The sequence below is a fragment of the Homo sapiens genome, chromosome 8, assembly GCF_000001405.40.
Source record: "Homo sapiens chromosome 8, GRCh38.p14 Primary Assembly".
In the NCBI taxonomy this organism is placed as follows: Eukaryota; Metazoa; Chordata; class Mammalia; order Primates; family Hominidae; genus Homo; species Homo sapiens.
The window spans coordinates 100600229-100614009 of NC_000008.11; the positions used below are offsets into that span (position 1 = coordinate 100600229).

Sequence of the window (13781 nt, forward strand, 5' to 3'; positions counted from 1 at the left end):
TTTAAAAAGAGCCCCACTTTTAGTGCTTGGTAGGTTTATCAGTTACAGAAACAGTTCAATTCTAATATGTTTCTTTAACTCCCTTTCAAGGGATTTCTCTTGGAGCAATATTTGATTCACCTTTGTTTGACTGTCTTCTTTCTGGAAAGCTTCTAATTTCTGCCTCTGTGCCTGTGTGGGTTTGGCCCATCCTTTTTCAATGTCCTGTATTGCCTTAAAATAACATAAGTTGTAAAATTAGCAGTCTTAGCAGAAATTAATCAATCTGACAAAAACATACTCTTGTATGAAGGGATATAAAAACAAACCCAAGTGGATATATATTTAGGGATTTAGCATATTATAAGTCTTATTTTTTAAATTAGTAAGAAGAGATTGTTCAACAGCTTGGGGACAATTGGCAACACTTGGCAAAAAAGAAAATAAAATTAGCTCTTTCCCCACACCACCTAATCAAATAAATTCCAGATAAAGATTTAAATGTATAAGACCATAAAAGAATCAGGAAAAAAATAAAGGTAAATATTTTTATCTGATCTTGAGGTAGGGAATATCTTTTTTAAGATATAAAAACAAAATGTCATAATGAAGAAATAGTCATATATAATTATGTGAAACATAAAACTTCTGTACCTGAAAACCAACAACAACAAAACTAAGAATCAAATGGAAAAACAAGGAAAATGATTGCATCATATATATCAAACAGTTAATATTTATATAAAGCAATAGGAAAAATGTAAGCATCACCAAAAGGAAAATGGGCAACAGCTATGTATTGGCAATTGACAAAATAGAGTTCCAAATAATAAGTATATTTGAATCATAAACACAGATATTGGAAAAAATATATTGATAAGGTCATTACTGCTATTGCTTATAGCAATGAAACATTTTCAACTTGATAGTGGCAAACACATGTACAGTGCTTACTATGTGTCAGGCAATGTTCTAATTGCTTCAGAACAAAAGTCAATCCTTACAGCCACCCTGTGATGTAGGTACTGTTATGAAATGCCCCAAAATGGGTAACTGAGTTTGGGTATAACTAAATAATAGGCTATGCTATCATTAAAAATTACACAGAATATTTAACAACATGGGAAATGTGTGTAATGTTCATGAAAAATATCAAATTGCCAAGTAAGAGTCTAGTAGTAGACCCTAATTTTTATAAAACAACAAAAAATAAATATAAAACAACATAAAACCCTCATATGGATACTTACAAGTCAAGGAAATGGATGTGCAAATACATGAAATGTATGAAATAAATATACCCAAAGAGTTAATCAATAGTTTATATATCTGGTTGATTTAAGATTTGGGGTGACATCTACTTTCATTTTTGAACTCTTCCACATTTGCAAACTTTTTATAAGATAAAAACTAATTTCACATTAAAAAAATTAAAGTTGAATATATTGTTGGGTCCTGTCTGGTCAGCCTAGGGTAACCATCATCAGCAAGTGTTCCCAAACTCCAAATCCCTAATGGGGTTCTTGGTTGCTTCCTAATCCACTGCAGGCTTCAGCAGAACGACACTGGGCTCAAAGGCAGAAATCGCCTTGAAGGCAATGGCCCCCTGTGGAAGCACGTCAGGACTATGGTGAAGCAACATGAAACGTGGAAGTAACAAAGCCTGTTGTCTCAGCCTACCCTCCCTGAGCAGGCACCTTTTCCTGTGCTCTTTCTCTCTCCTCTTGGCACCCAGCTCCCTTCCCCTTTAGCCAGTCTGGCCCTGGGGAGGCCGTGGAATCAGCTGTCCACCTCCTCAGCCACACACACTCGGCCTGTGCTGCTCTAACTTGTCATGACGGGGCAGAATTGGCCATTGTCCCTCAGTTAGGCTGTCAATCCCTAAGGGAAGACCCCGCGCCCGTCGTCTCAGTGTGCCTTGCCCAGTGTCTTACATATGGCAATGCCCAGCAATTCTTTGCCAATCATCAGGTGCTTATTTTCACCTTAGTCTGAACATAAGCCTATCTGCTACATCCCTCAGTGATATTGGCAGGCTATGCTTTATCTCCCAGAGAAGAATGAAAAGCTAAATACGCCTTAAATATTGCTGTTTAGGCTGGGGGAAAAGGACATGGGATTTAGAGAGGAGAAGAAAAATAACAATATTTGTTGAAAACTTGTTTTAGATCGACTTTATCATTGACTTTTTCCCAACTACAGTGGTCCCCCTTATCCTCAGGGGACACTATCCAAGACTCCCAGGAGGGATGCCTGGTACTGTCATGGATAATACCAAACTCTATATATACTATGTTTTTTCCTGCATATACATACCTATGATAAAGTTTAATTTATAAATTAGGCACAGTAAGAGATGAACAACAATAACTAATAAGAAAATAGAACAAGTATAACAATATGCCAGCATCACTACTCTTGCACTTTAGGGCCATTATTAAGTAAAACTGGGGCCTTGAACACAAGTGTTGGGATACCAGGATGGTGATAACTGAGATCACTACTAAGTGACTGACGGGTGGATGATGCAGACAGCACGAAGAAACTGGACAAAGAGATGATTCATGTTCCGGGCCAGCAAGACATTTCATCATACTACTTAGAATGGCATGCAATTTAAAACTTATGAATTGTTTATTTCTGAAATTTTTTCACTTAATATTTTCAGACCATGCTTGACTGCAGGTAACTGAAACCACAGAAAGCAAGACCAAGAATAAGGGGGGCCTACTCTGTTCTGTGGGGAGGAACAATACCACCATTTTACAGATGAGTAAATTGAGGTTCAGAGAGGTTATGATGTTCAAGATGACCCAGCGAGTAAGTGGCAGGAGTTAGAGCAAACCCAGGTCTGGACACTACATCAAGCCCTTCTTCCCTTGCCCAAGCCACTGAATTCTTACCAGGTAGGCAGCTACCCACCCCAAGGCTTTCTCTGTGTCCCCAATTCTTCATCAAACCAAACCTACAGACCATACGAGAAAGCATGGTGTGAAGAATGAAACGCTGCCTTCTTTCCTGAATTGTACTTGATGGTAGAGCCCAGTAAGGGCTGTTGGCACAGGGGAACAATATCGAAAAGAAGGGATGGCTGTGTAAGGATAAACAGGAGTCACAGCAATAAGTACCAATCCAAGACATGTCGTTCACCATCAGAGTAACTGGATCCTCAGACACAGAGATGCAGATGTCTTACAGCAAAGGTAATGTAACTGTTTTGTTTCATTACCTTTTTTTTTTTTTTTGAGACGGAGTTTTGCTCCTGTTGCCCAGGCTGGAGTGCAATGGCGCAATCTCGGCTCACTGCAACCTCCGCCTCCCGGGTTCAAGTGATTCTCCTGTTTCAGCCTCCCAAGTAGCTGGGATTACAGGCATGCGTCACCATGCCCGGCTAATTTTTTGTCTTTTTAGTAGAGATGGGGTTTCACCATGTTGGTCAGGCTGGTCTTGAACTCCTGACCTCAGATACCTCGGATGATTGGCCTGCCTTAGCCTCCCAAAGTTCTGGGATTACAGGCATGAACCACCACACCCGGCCTTTTTTTTTTTTGAGACAGCCTTACTCTGTTGCCCAGGCTGGAGTGCAGTGGTGTGATCTCATCTCACTGCAATCTCCGCCTCCTGGGCTTAAGCCATAGTCTTGCCCCAGCCTCCCGAGTAGCTGGGACTACAGGCATGTGCCACCACACCTGGCTAATTTTTGTATTTTTAGTAGAGACGGGGGTTCACCACATTGGCCAGGCTGGTCTCAAACTCCTAATCTCAGGTACTCTGCCCACCTCTGCCTCCCAAAGTGCTGGAATTACAGGCGTGAGCCACTGCGCCCAGCTTTATATCATTACCTTTGAAAAGAGTTGACCCTGATTGTGGGTTCACAAGTCATCAACTCAAATGTGATATTATACAGTGCCTCACTCTGAGTAGGTCCAGACAATGAGAGTCGAGTCTAGACAAGTCTACTCAGTTACACGGTTCCCTGAACACTGGCTGAGAGGGGAGTATGCAGAATTGAACTTAAAAAATCAAGCATCCTAAAGGTGCTGCAGATAGAAAAAAAGAAAAAAATAATAAAATTAAAAATTTTAAAAATCAAGCAAAATCACATAAGCCATAGTCTTCCTGACCTTCAGTCTCACACGCTCTAGTGTCCTCTGCAGAGGGCACAGTAGTGAGAAATAGAGGTCATATGCCTCTCAAAGGCCGGCACTGGCCACTCGGCTCTGGCGAAAGCATGGTGGAGAAGGGCAAGGGACGTGTGTGCCTGGACAAGGTCACCAGGCCATAGGGGAGTCAGGAAGCCAAAGGTCAGCCCCCCTCCACTCACCAAGCCATGGGCCCCGATGCAGGACTAGCCCCACCTGGAGGATGGGGTGCCTTTTTCTAATTTGCATCACTGTCCAGGCCAGCAATGGCCCCGCTGAAATGCAGGCCCAGAATTGACTGAGCCTTCAAAATGTATACTTACTTATAGTTTTAAATGCAATCTCTCATTTTTAAACTCAGGTTAAAAGAGGAGCAGAAGAAAGGAAACAGGCTGTGGGAATTCAGTTGACTCATTGGATATCACTGGGCACATCTGCTTTAGAAAATCAAAGCTGTGCCCCTTAATAGTTAATTATGATGGATCCATTATTTATCACAACTCAAGAGCTTTTCATGTTAACTTTTTTAAAGAATGACTGCTTCTTAGTCTTTTTTTTTCTTTTTTTTTGACAGAGTCTCGTGCTGTCACCCAAGCAGGAGTACAGTGACATATTCTTGGCTCCCTGCAACCTCTGCCTCCTGGGTTCAAGAGATTCTCCTGCCTCGGCCTCCCGAGTAGCTGGGACTACAGGCGTGCGCCACCGTGCCCAGCTAATTTTTGTATTTTTAGTAGAGATGGAGTTTCACCATGTTAACCAGGCTGGTCTTGAACTCCTGACCTCAGGTGATCCACCTGCCTTGGCCTCTCAAAGTGCTGGGATTACAAGTGTGAGCCACCATGCCTGGCCACTTCTTAGTCTTTCACATATCCCAGACACCCAGGACACAGGAGGAATGAGACAGTCTCTGCCCTTGGCCATTCAGAGTCTGGTTGGGAGAAGTGGGAGGAAGGTAGGAATTTTCTTCTGGGGAGAGCCAAGGCAGGCCTCCCAAAAGAGGCAGTGATTGTGGTCCTGACTCTCCTGCTGACCTTGGACCCACCTTTGACTTCTTAGCTCCTCTACCCAGATTCAGGGAACAATGATGATGATGATGATGATGATAAAGATTATTATGACATCAACTACAATTTTTTGGAGACTTTGCCAGGCAATGAGCTAAGGTTTGTATGACAGTCTATTAAAGCTTGGAGAAAACTTAGAGATTATGTTAGTTCCACCTCATCTCAACAGGGAGATGTCGTGGTTCAGAAGGATGCGGTTGCTGGCCCAGGGTCACCCAGAGAGAGGATCAGTGTCAGAGCAAGGGACAGAATTCATTTCTGAAACTGCAATTCAGTGTGCCTCCCATGAAGCCACGTTTTTTTAGCTTTGAGCAGAGGAAGTACCATCATCTGTTTCCCTCTGGTTATAAATCTTTAATGAAAACAGATTTAAAAAGTCACATTATGATGCTCGAAGCTCTGACCTCTCATCACAATGAGAAGCAAAAGACATGCCATAAAGATGATATTTCCCACAGGAACGATATTAGAATTATGTGATGCAATCTCATCCAAGGTCATGGTATCAAACCAGACACAGCTAAAAATGTATCATAATAGCAAGGATACAGTAGCAAGGATGGGCCTCAATAAACATTTAAAGTGGAAAAATTCTTCTCTAACTCATATCAAGTACACTGAACATGATTTTTTTTTTTTTGAGACAGGTTCTTGGTATGTTGCCCAGACTGGAGTGTAATGGCGTGATCACATCTTAAGTGACCTCCGCCTTCTGGGCTCAAGCCATCCTCCTACCTCAGCCTCCTGAGTAGCTGGGACCACAGGCACACACCATCATGCCTGGCTGACTTTTACATTTTTGGTAGAGATGGGATTTTGCCATAGTGCCCAGGCTGGTCTTGAACTCCTGAGCTCAAGTAATCCACCTGCTTCAGCCTCTCAAAGTGCTGGGATTACAGGTGTGTGTCCCCGTTTCCAGGCTGAACATAATTATACTTGGATTCATGTATAGTACGGAATGAACTCAAAGCTATATTCTAGCCATAAAAATACAATGGTGAACATTAAACATTTAATAAGTGATATTTTGATTTGCCCTCTTAGAATTTAGAAGAGCTTTAGGGTCTTGATCTCTAAAAGTCACTTAAGGAGGCATGGGCTAAGTTTCTTTCCCTCTTCTACGCCCTCTGGTAAGCCAGGGTAACAAAATCCACCCATTGACCTTTTTCTACACCCAAAGTACCACAGTAGGTTTTATTAACATTCCACTTGAAAAGCTCATTAAAAGTAATAACTTATCCACCATCTCTCTCTCTCCTGAGTTTATAAAAGCTACCCAGTGTAGCAGCTTAGAGTCACGCTAAATAAAGGCCACCTGTAAACAAGTGTTGTTAAATTTCTTTAGCTACATCCTCTATTAATCCAAACCCACTACTCAATCTTTTGGCAGCAAATCTAATGTTTTTCTTCCTGAAAGTGTGGATGGTACCAACTGCCTTACAGAGTTGTTATGAAGCTCCAATGACATAACGCACTTAATTAATACGATGCCAGGCCCACCAAAGGGCTTAATGCTGACATCGTGCCCGGAACAATTCCAGTTTCTGGGGATGCAGCAGTGAATGAATAAATACCCACTTTCATGGAGAAATCATTCCAGTAGGGAGAGAGTAAACAAATATACACAACACACACACATACTTACATTGGCAGATGGTAGAAATGCTACGGAGGAAAAAGAACAAGGACATTGGGATTTGGGGTTTAGCCTGAGTGAGATGGAAAGTCTGGGAGGGGGTGGAGCAGGGCAGGGCTGTGACCCACCACCCTGCCTGCTGCCTGAGAATAGACTGTGAGATGTTCTCAGGGAACTCACTGAAAGAAGCTTCTGAGCTTTCTTCCCAGAATTGTGGAGCCAAGCCTGGAAAAGATCAGGTCTCCGAAGATGGCGGTGTGGTGAGTGTGAACACCTGGGGCAGCTGGTGACCTGGGTGTGTATGTTGGCGGCAGCACCGGCTGACCATTCCATGACTTGGCCGAAGCTTCATCACACGAGGCAGGAGAAGGGAACTGAGGCCAAGCTCGAAATTTACTTTATTAGAGGCTGGGGGTAGGAGTAGGTAGGGCCAACTACATAATTTTCAGGGTCTACCTAGTGCAAAATGAAAATGTTGTTCAAAAATTAAAAATTTTGGGTAATGGTCACAAAAAAATAGAATGAAGAAGACCTAGTATTTGCTAGCACAACAGGATGACTATAGTAAAAAACATTAATTGTACATTTAAAAATAACTAAAAGAGTATAATTGGAGTGTTTGTAACGTAAAGGATAAATGCTTGAGGAAATAGATACCTTATTTACCCTGATGGGATTATTACACACTGCATGCCTGCATGAAAATATCTCATGTAACCCATAAATATTATATATATACCTACTATGTACCAATGAAAATTTAATTTTTTAAAATAAAAACTAAAAATAAAATGAAGAATTTCAAGTTGGTAACCGCGATCATTACAGGAGCATGGGTTCTCTGAGCCCAGAGCCCAACGCAACTGTGCAGGCCACATGCCCACCCAGCTGGAGCCAATGGCAGGCAGGTTGCTTGTTGGCTCAGGGGCAAGAAGGCTATGCTAGAGTGAGATTTAAGGATCACGTGTGACTTTAAGTTATCAGGGATATCCTTTCTAGGCTCATGATGACAGTGTGTCAGCTGCAAATTCAGAGATGGATTGTTACAATGGAGATAGAATTCCTTTTCTCTCTCTAAACTCCTCTACTTTTTACATTTTATTGTTATCGTGGTAAAATATATACAACGTAACTTGTCATTTTAACTATTCACAAAATTCAGAGTCATTATATACATTCACAATGTTGGATAATCATCACTGCTATTTAGAGCTCAAACTTTTTTTTATCATCCCCCAACAAAAACTTGTACCCATCAAACAATAACAACTTCTTCTCCACCCCCCACAGCCCCTGGTAATCTCTGTTCTACTTTCTGTCTCTATGAATGTGCCTGTTTTAGGTGTGGAGGTAGAATTACTAACTGCCACATAATTTGTTTAGTGGCTCCAAGCCAACATGGCCTATGATCTACGGTGCTGTCTGAGCTCTTGGTGACCCTCACCTGCATGTAGAGCAAATCTACCGCCACCCTGCAGTCCATCAGCACGGAGTCGAGGGATGGAGCCATATACCTGCAAAATTCAGGAGTGTGAAATTCATTCCTGTGACATGGCCCATGGGCACACCTGGCAAGTGCTTTGGAAAGTGGTGGCCCTCTACCCTATGAACCAGGGCCCCCTTTTCCAACAAAGCCACACCTCCACTTGCCCAGCTTTCACTCTGCCCCTCCACCTCTTTCGTTTCCTAATTTCTTTACACCGTAAGCTCTTGCCTGGAGGGCTCTAAGAGTAAAGAGGCACAAAAATAAAGCTTTAGGGGAATGGTCTGCATCCCTGTTCACATTCAGCCTCACTCTTGGCCACCAAGATGCGGATTCCCTTTCTCCACCGCACAATACCTGGCATAGTCAACTGCCCCACACAGACCTACCCCCATATTCACCACCCTGCAGCAGGGCCACCCTCATCTCTTGCCTGAGCTGCTCTGGGAGCCTCCTTTCCAGGCTTTCTGTCTCAGCCATGTGCCCTTAATCTGATGCTCCACATTCTAACCAGAGTGGTCTTTCCTGTGAAACTTTTCAGACTCTCATTGTTCCTGGAGTTAGATATTTATTCTACTCACTTTCAAGGCCCTTCCGGGGACCACCCCCACTTTCATTTCCAGTTCCATCTCTCACCAACCCCACCACCAACGCTACATTCCAACCATGTTTTCTCTCCTCTCTCCCTGCCTGGAAGACCAAGGCCCTCACCAGTCTCCTCCCCTGACTGATTGGCCTTTCTTTGCAAGCCTTATGCAGTGCCCCCTCCTCTGGTCCCTACTCCCCAAGGCTGTATTAGCCGCCTGTCCACTGTGCTTCCTCTGCACCCTGAGTTTATTCCAATTGCCACTCTGATTAAGTTTTCTTGACACCATCTGTGAAGAACCCCAAGGCCAGGGGCCTATCCAGAGTTGCCCCTCTGAATCTTGACAGAGTGATTTGCAAATAGCAGGGGCTCCGTGTCTGCCTGTCAGATCCAGAATCACGAGGAACTGAAATTAATGACTGTAGAAGCACAGTAGCATGTTAAGAAGGGACTGAAACTGTCAGGAAAGGGTACCTATGGCTGATCTCTACCAACCAGAAGGCAGAGGCAAGCAGAGTTGCTATGCTCAGAATAGGGTGAATAGACCAATGGGGTTGGCTTAGACCAGGAAAGGGATAAATATGGTGCTTGAAGGTCAACTTCATTCTGGGGTGGGGAGAAGTAACTGAAGCATCCCTACTTACATTCCAGGTAACTATGCACCCACACATCCCAGAGGCCCCTGTGTGCAGAGAATAGACCCATCCCAGACTGGGGCTCCCACAGGCCAGCACAGGTACCCTGTGGCCTGGAGGAAGCCATATCATCATCATTGGAGAGATGCACCCAGGCATCTCTCCTTAAGGACAGAGAAGTCCTTAAGACGCCACTTAGGCCTCACTGAGGCTTCACCTGCTGGGAATCACTCAGCTTTTGGAGCTAGCCTTCCAGCTCCCATGCGGCAAGACTTCCCTCTGGAAAGAGGGCAAGGCACCTGCAGGAGCCTATGCCAGAATCTCCCCTCCAGAGACCTGATCCTCAGCTCTGACAATAGAAGTGGAACCTCCTTTCTTCCCAGTTCCCATCAACAGAGGCAATCTGCCTAGATCTGAGATGCTGGCTAATAATTTGGGGTAGACGTTTTCTCTTGCACGTATCATCTAGAGTTTACGTATTTAAAAAAGACATAGGCAATGCCTAATTTCTAATTCAAGCTTCAAGGTAAGAAACAGAATCATCATCTCTCCTTTGATCTCAGGTTTTATGAAGCGCACATGAGTGAAAATCTAAGCCCCAAAGATTTTTTTTTTTTTTTTGCTTCCTATAATCACCATCATCATCAATATAACAGTCACAAACATGACCAAAACTTACTGAGCATATGGGACTATTTTACATAACTCTTGCAATAACCCTTATAATAATCCAATAAACTATTTTTATTATTCCCATTTTACAGATAAAGAAACTGAGGCTTAGAGAGCTTGAACGACTTGGCTAGGTTTACGCAGCTAAGACCTGAGCAAGGCGCAACTTAGATTCACATACTGTAATTCCAGGAACAACTGTGCTCAGCCATTCACTACAGCAAGCAGCTTCCAGAACAGCTGTTCTCTAAACCATTGGATGGAACTGAGTTCTTCTCCCCTTCTCAGGGTTTCACATCTCAAGATCTGGACCATTCCTCAGGATACTTCTGAACAGCAGTATATGAACTGCCTTGCTGGGAATATCCTTCCACAATTCAAAGCCACAAACTGGAGCTCTAGAGCAAGGCATCACAAGGTCAAGGGAATTCTTAGATTTCAAAATACCTTTCTTTAAAACTTCTGTACTCAGATAACAGAATAAATGGGCTGGGAGAGAGCGAGCCTAAGGAGCAATCCCCTGCAGCCACGGTAATAAACACTGGGAGCTGCAGGTTATAGGACTGGGGGTGCATAAGGTCCTGCTGCTCAGCGCTATTTTCTATAATATTTTGTTCTCCACAGGCTCCTGTGTTACTGGAGGAAATGACAGTATTTTCTGCAGAGGGATACTTGTGTCCTACCTATCTAGGAATATGGATGGCCCTGTACACATCCTTTAGGCATGTGTAAGCCCAGTACTTAGAGTTCAAATTCACTGCAACCTGGCTGAATCCACCCTTCACCTTCAGGGAATACCACACTTCTACGGATAAATCAGATCTGGTTGTAATCATCAACAAAGTCCCTCCATTAATGCAGCCAGTGATGCATTGCAAAGCAAACCCAAGGCCAGCCATTTCCCACCATTACCTGCTTTAATCCATGTCCCCTGGCCCCGCCCCTGGTTTTCAAGTCTTACTTTCTTGTTCGCCTATCAGTAGAGATGCAGAAAGATGGCTACCCTCCTCATTTTCATACCCCACCCCGCCCTGAGTATTTACCTGAGACTACTGATAGTCACCCTCAACATCCTATTCTTTAGGACAAATATTCAGAAACCAGTTTATTTCACCCTCTCTCATTTTCATTGCTTTTCTTTTCTTTTTGAGACAGGGTCTTGCACTGTTGCCCAGGTTGCAGTGCAGTGGTGTAATCTTGGCTCACTGCAGCCTCGATCTTCTGGGCTTAAGTGTGTCTCCTGCCTCAGCCTCCTGAATAGCTGGACCACAGATGCACAACACCACATCTGGCTAATTTTTTTGATTTTTAGTGGAGATGAGGTCTTGCTATGTTGCCCAGGCTGATCTTGAACTCCTGGGCTCCAGCAATCATCTTGCCTTGGTCTCCCAAGGTACTGGGATTATAGGCATAAGCCACAGCACCTGGCCTTCATTGCTTTTCTCAGAGCCTTCTCTAAGTTCTTGGTCTCCAGCTGTCAGGCTATGAGCAGGATGTGACGGGACTCTGGTAAGTCCTGATGGGCAATGGCGAAGTGTCGTCAAACGCCTCTGTCACTTTCAGAACCTACTTACCACTTTCGGAGTCCAACCTTACAGTTTTCCACCTCAGAACTTCCAAGACTAACATAAGGGAGTTCAAAGTCAGCCAATTTTTTCACAACTAGAGAAAGGAGAAAGCCGGTCTTACTGGTTGAAACAGCACAGACAGCTTATATATAGCAGCTTTCAAATGAGAAAATAAAACCTTATTATTGGAAATAATAAAATCACAGTAAGAATATCCTCTGTATTTACACGTAATTTTAACTTTCTGAAGTTCATTCAAAAAATAAATATCATTTGATCCTCAAAAAAAAACAGCCCCTTGAGTGGGGGGTGTTTTACACTGTGATATAGATGAAAAAATAGATCCGGAGACATCCAGCGCCTTCGCAGCTCACCGCAGGGCCTAGCAGCCAACCCTCTACACAAGCCCCTTAACTTCCAACTCAAAACCACCTCCCCTGGCTTCTTGAGGACATTTATAAACTACTTTAATATAACTGATACCATTTTACAAAAAAAAAAAACTTGTAATATCTAGAAACATACTGTAGAGAAAACAAAAGATAGGAGAATCAGACTGTCTTCTTACACTATCTCATTACACTTGAAAAAAGAATCTAATAACTCATTGATACCATCCACAAATATTCCTTAACAAGGAGAAATGATGCTGTGGTGGGGCGTCCTGACCCCTGGAGTCTAGCACTCCATTCACAGGAAACGGTGCAGGCGAGTGGTCAGTGGTCAGGCCGGGCCTGCGGTAAAGGGGAGGGGGTCAGGATTAGGGCTGGGGGTACACAAGTGCAGTTACTGGACCACCCAAGGTATGAGCGGTTTGCCCCCACTCTCCCCTAACAAGGACGCAACCTCCTATTCCCTAAACCCTTAACCCAGTGACTGAGAACAGTGGTAGGGATCACAGCCCAGTGGGTGGCCAGCCCCTCAGCTGTGACTCCTATGAGCCCCTGCTCACACCTGTCCACCCCATCTCCTAGCTGATTCATTTGTTCCTTCCTTCTTACCAGAGAGCTTGCCCTCCTTGCCAAACCGAATGAGAAAGAGGCCGAAGTAGCCCAAGAGCTCTCGACACAGTCCAATTTTGTGTGACACCACCTTTAACCAGAAACAAGCAGAAAGGGAAAAAGTTAGGTGTGCCCACCATGCATCCTAACTGTGACATGCAGACTTGGAAATGGCCGGTACACATCAATAAAAAATGCTGTCATGGGTTAGTGAACACTCAAAGAAAGCTTTTTGGAATCAAAAAATGGTATCCATCTTAGAAAATTTTAAAACACAAAAAAATTAGAATAAAGAAAATAAAAATCAGCCCCACCACAATGGACAGAGGCTGGCCCCAAGTTGAGGTTGGTCATCCCATCTCAGATGTGGACTCACTCCCGGATTGTCTTGGTCTTTATTTTCCCCTGGAGGGCAGCAGCCATGTTCCATGAACATCTGTCCTTCTGTGATGTCTGTCCCTGGAACCTGCACACTAGTTTACCTTCCTGTGGGCTGCATTACCAGCTATTTGGAAAAGGATCACTCCCCGCCGCTTGGCTGGCATACAAACGTGCATGCGCTACTGCCCACCTTTGACACGCCAGGCCTGCTTCGCCTTGATGTTTCCTGCGATGGTCAACTGTAATTTACTAGGATGTTTGCAAAATGAAAACCTCAGATGCCAGGCACAGGTTGCCTTCCTTCACATTCCTCTTTGACTTATATCAAACAGCTTTCATTTCAACGCCAGTGGCTTCATTTTTACCATCAGCCTACCAGGGTGTCACCTCACAGCATTGGACATCTACTCACGCTCCCTTAGCAGAAAATTCTACACGACCACAGGCTTCCTCCCTGCCATCTGCCCAGCCCAGCCCCTATTTAACACTGGGCTCTCGAGTAATTTCTTTATACTCCTGGTCTTAACTCACTAAATCACCTCTGTACCACGCAAGGAGAGGCCTCCAAGCACTGCCCTCCAGAGCTGCTTTACCCACGACTCCCAGTTCTCTAGGTGGCAGTTGTACAAATACC

At 43.9% G+C, this 13781-nt stretch overlaps 1 protein-coding gene across 20 annotated transcripts in view; it reads right to left on the reverse strand.

Annotated features, from left to right (window-relative positions):
• SNX31 (sorting nexin 31) overlaps positions 1 to 13781 on the reverse strand; it is a 90712-nt gene that overhangs the window by 27355 nt on the left and 49576 nt on the right. For 15 of the 20 annotated variants that reach the window (XM_011516899.2, XM_017013162.2, XM_017013160.2 and 12 more), the window contains 4 exons: positions 12767 to 12857; positions 11772 to 11859; positions 8266 to 8335; positions 121 to 213 (listed from right to left, as the gene is read on the reverse strand). In XM_011516899.2, the coding sequence (XP_011515201.1) occupies positions 121 to 213; positions 8266 to 8335; positions 11772 to 11859; positions 12767 to 12857 (342 nt within the window). The remainder of the gene's footprint in view (positions 1 to 120; positions 214 to 8265; positions 8336 to 11771; positions 11860 to 12766; positions 12858 to 13781) is intronic. The other 5 variants (XM_017013165.1, XM_017013164.1, XM_047421413.1 and 2 more) reach the window with 2 other exon arrangements.